A 4,828-nucleotide genomic window follows, 5' to 3' on the forward strand; every position below is an offset into this window, starting at 1 on the left:
TCAAGAGATCCTCCTGCCTCAACCTCCCAAGTAGCTGGGACTACAAACACTCACCACGCACTACAGGCACTCACCACTTTTTTTGGGTAGAGTTCGGGGTCTCAAATTCCTGGCCTCAAGCAATCTTCCTGCCTCAGCCTTCGAAATTAAACATTTTTAAAAGGGGGAGTCCATAAGCCTCCTGTAGCCGATTTCTGTGGCCCAAGAAGCCCAGGGCAATTTACAGAGGCCATTAACACTTCAGTGGCAGAGCTCTGTGCTTGTGAAAACTAAAACACCCTTTTAGAAATATATTTGATTTAATTAACAGAAGATAATAGTGAAATAGTATGATCTAGAGTCATACAGGCCTGAGGTCAATTTCAGCCACATGACCTTGGAAAGTGACATAGCCTTTCTGACCCCTGGTTTCCCGGCCTGTGAACTGGGGGAGTTGATTAAGAGCCTGCAGAGCACCCGGCAAAGGGCAGCTAGTCAAGCAGAATACCGTGTGGAAACTGAGAGTTCCCCAGTATCCTCAGCCTCTTAGAGACCCCAAATAAGCTGTCATATCATCAAGACATTCAAGGCAGGGCTGGACACCTTCTGCTTCTGCCCACACAGCCTCTCCTGCCGGAGTCCCATGTATAGTGGGCCTTGGGGCTCTTCCCCTTTAATCACTCTCCTGACTTCACCAGCGAGACTTCCGCCATCTTTTGCTCGTTGATATTTACCATTCACCTGTTTCACAACCGGCCCTTCAAGATGACCCCCCCCTTAGACATAGTGCAAGAAGTCCTGTGTCTCCCCAGCTCCTCGGGTCTCTGCTCTGTCTTTAGGAAGGCCGCACCACTCCAGGAGAGCAGAATCACAAAATGTTGCCCTGCCCAACACTGTCCCCGCCCCACCACACACAGACCACCTCTCCTGTGTTCCCAGGTGCTCCTCCTGTCTCCATGGAGATGCCTGCCTCTGCTACACCCCTGGCTCATGTACTCTTGAAGGACCAAGCACCAAACATCCTTCTGTCTTTTGGGGCTCCCTGCCCCTGCGATAGTGGAAGACTCGCTTACTGTCTAGCTATACCTGTGTAAGAAGGTCCCTGTCAACCACTGAACTTTGTACTCTCTCTCTATTTTGAGAGAATCTCAATTGTAATTTCATACCTTCATCTAAAGAATGGTGTATATGTAACAATGAATTTTAACATGAACAAAATATTCCCTCTGAAAAACGTCCTAACACACTTCGGATTTCTCATATGTATAGAGAATAAGGCTTTTGCTTCTTGCTTTAACTATTTAATTTTACATAATTTTTTTCAAAGTCAAACTTTTGATTTGAAAGTGAAATTCCACTTTCAAATGCTATGAAACATGTTGTTTGCCAAAATGCAAAATATCTTTTTTGTTTCAACACGAGAAATGCTTAGAAAAAACAGAATTACAGAGACTTTCTCTTCCGATGGGAAACAATTTTTTCTCACCTGCTACAATCAAAGATGACAAGGCTATTTTTTTTAGCAACACTTTAAATAGCTGAGAGTTAAAGTGTGTTCCATGCTTACTGCATGTCAGTACTATTCTGGTGTTCACAAGAACCCTCGGTGTAGGTACTCTTATCATCCCCATTTTAGAAACAAGAAAGCTGAAGTTTCAAGTAACTTACTCATACTCAGAAGTTCACACATAAGTACTGGAATTCAAGCCAAGGCCACCCCATGTGAGAGGCCATCTGCCTACCTAACTAGGACACTGGAAGGTAAAAAGTTGACTAAAACAGTTTCCTCTCATAAAATTTCTTATATTTACATCCAATAATATATGTATCTCTTACTTGCTTTTCAATTACCTATAAAGCTGGAAAATAAATATAAACTAAACTCTGAGACTCAGGCAGCAGATAGGAAGTAACCTTGATAAACTTAAGAATGTTCCATAAGTAGTCAATTTCTGCTGATGAGAAATAGCAACTGTGCCATAGTATATGCTTTATAATAATCTGATACCTGAGGAAGAAAGAATACCATATATAACTGGAAGGAACGCAAAATGGTGCAGCCACTTTGGAAAACAGCTCAGAAGATTCTCATAAAACAACCTATATCTTTCACATATATGACTTAGCAATCTGACACAGGGAGACCAAAACAACAGGGAGAGAAAACAGAGCAGTGGTTTCCAGAGGTTAGAAAGGTGGGGAGGAGGCCAGGCGCAGTGGCTCACTCTTGTAATTCCAGCACTTTGGGAGGCCGAGGTGGGTGGATCACCTGAGGTCAGGAGCTCAAGACCAGCTTAGCCAATACGGTGAAACCCCATCTCTACTGAAAATACAAAAATTAGCCGGGCATTGTGGCGGGCATTTGTAATCCCAGCTACCCAGGAGGCTAAGGCAGGAGAATCGCTTGAACCCTGGAGGCAGAGGTTGCAGTGAGCTGAGATTGTGCCACTGCACTCCAGCCTAGGCAACAGAGCGAGACTCCATCTTAAAACAAACAAAGGTGGGGAGGAGTTGAATATAAAGGGAGACAGAATGAGGAGATTTGGGGGTGATGGAACCATGGTGATGGACACATGACTGTGCATTTGTCAAAACCCATAGAATGGTTCACTGTAAATCTTCTGAATAGATTCTGTAGTTTAATTGACAGTATTGTACCAAGATTAGTATTTTGACAATTGTTCTATAATTATGTAACCTGTTCACATACAAAGAAGTTGGGTGGAGGATATATGAGAACGTCCTCTACTACTTTTGCAATTCCTCTTTAATCTAAAATTATCTCAAAACAAAAAGTTTTTACAAAGCAATTTTATGATAAGCTGAGTATGGTGCCAAATAGGATTTCTGACACAGTTAAAACTGCCTTTATTTTCTATCGTGTATTAGAGGAGAAAAAAAATCTAATTTGGCCTTAGGAATTTTCTTTTCAAAATATACTATAAGCTGTATTTGTAAACATTCTCTTATTTCTCATTCTCTGAAATTGAAGGATTCTCCATCTATATTACCTCCTGACACTACAGTTCAATTTTATTTAGCAGGACCACTTTATTTTCCCTTTTTCCTCCAAAATAGATTTTGTGGGTTCCTGATTTTCACCAGTTACTCTAACTATTCTGTGTATTTAATGCCCCAACTATGTGCTGGGTGCCCTTCCATTGGATGGGTGGTTGCATTATTAAATGTTTTGACTTTATTTAGATAGGCATTTCTTGAATCAATTTTTAAGAGCGTGCCTGTCTTTATCTAACTTACTTCCTGATGAAGCGCAGATCTTTTTTTGGTAGTGGTAGTATTATTCTGAAGATGTTTCTTAGTGCCTCCTTTTGCATTTTCCTGCTGTTTCACCAACAGTTTTTGTTAGCATTATCAAACTCTACTGAGAACCAAGATTCGTAATTAGCCTGGTATATTAATCAGGATAAATGCTGAGGAGGCAGAAAAGGAAATGGAAAACATTTGATTAATTATAAGACATGAGTTGGATAGCTTCTCTGAAAACTAGCCTGGGCTCAGTAAAGTATTTAGAGGGCAATATGGCAGGTAAGAGTGACTTGGAGTCACTTATGAAAAGTTGGAGAGCAGAAGGCAGCTGGGTGCAGTTGGATGGTCTGCGGCAGTTTCCAGCATAAAGCACCCTTTCCATCACTGATGCAGGGTGTGCATGTGTGTATCTGCTGAATTAACTTGTCCTTGTTGTGGTAGTTGCTGTTGTTGTCAGTATCAGAACCACCATGTAACAGATAGTTTTGCCCGATTCACAGACAGTTTGCTTCTTTGGCACCTTCTGGATTTGACAGATTGTTTAAATCACTAGCTGCTCTATTAGCTGGTAATTTGGATAAGTATTTCTAATTTCCAATTTTGCCTGAGGGACCTTTAAGAATTGAAGCTAACAGTGCTGAGGGACTAGAAAGACAAGCCACAGACTGGGAGAAAGTATTATAGAACACATATCTGATATGGAACTTGTATCCAAAATGTACAAAGAACTCTTAAAACTCAATAATAAAAAAACATACTACCCAGTTTTAAAATGTGCAAAAGATCTGAACAGGCACCTCACCAAAGAAGATATAAGATGATAAATAAGCATATGAAAATATGCCCAACACCATACATCATTAGGGAATTACAAATTAAAACAGATACCACTACACACCTATTAGTGTGGCTAAAATTAAAAACATCATCAACAGCAACTGATAACCCAAAATGCTGACAAGGCTGCAGGGCAACAGGAACTGCCATTCATTGCTGGTGGAAATGCAAAATGTTGTTGTCACTCTGGAGGACAGTTTGGCAGTTTCTTTAAAAGTTAACTGCAGTCTTACCACATGATCCAGCAATCATGCTCCTAGGGAAAACTTATAGTCTCACAAAAACCTACACATGAATGTTTATAGAAGCTTCATTCATAATCACAAAAACTGGAAGCAACCAAGATGTCCTTCAATAGGTGAATGATAAACTATATACAGACAATGGAATACTTAACAATAAAAAGAAACGAGCTATCAAGTCACAGCAAGTCATAGAAGAAAGTTAAATGCATACTGCTAAGAAAGAAGCCAATCAGAAAAGACTACATACCATATAATTCTACCTATATAACATTATGGAAAAGGCAAAACTATAGAGACTTTAGAAACATCAGTGGTTGCCAGGGGCTCTAGGGGAAGGAGGGATGAATAGGTGGAGCACAGGGGATTTTTACAGCAGTGAAACTACTCTGTACAAAACTGTAATGGTGAACACATGTTATTATATATTAGGCAAAATCCATAGAAGTCTGGCTAGGTGCGGTGGCTCACATCAGCACTTTGGGAGGCCAAGGCAGGCAGAT

The 4,828-nt window shown here is 40.6% G+C and overlaps 2 annotated features.

Annotated features, from left to right (window-relative positions):
* Positions 626-805: an enhancer, noted in NCBI's record as "active region_7457". NCBI's record gives its function as "activates an Ori minimal core promoter by ATAC-STARR-seq in GM12878 lymphoblastoid cells {active_cell/tissue: GM12878}" and the evidence as "EXISTENCE:reporter gene assay evidence [ECO:0000049][PMID:35858748]".
* Positions 2,036-2,265: an enhancer, noted in NCBI's record as "active region_7458". NCBI's record gives its function as "activates an Ori minimal core promoter by ATAC-STARR-seq in GM12878 lymphoblastoid cells {active_cell/tissue: GM12878}" and the evidence as "EXISTENCE:reporter gene assay evidence [ECO:0000049][PMID:35858748]".

The sequence above is a fragment of the Homo sapiens genome, chromosome 13 (genome assembly GCF_000001405.40).
Source record: "Homo sapiens chromosome 13, GRCh38.p14 Primary Assembly".
NCBI lineage: Eukaryota > Metazoa > Chordata > Mammalia > Primates > Hominidae > Homo > Homo sapiens.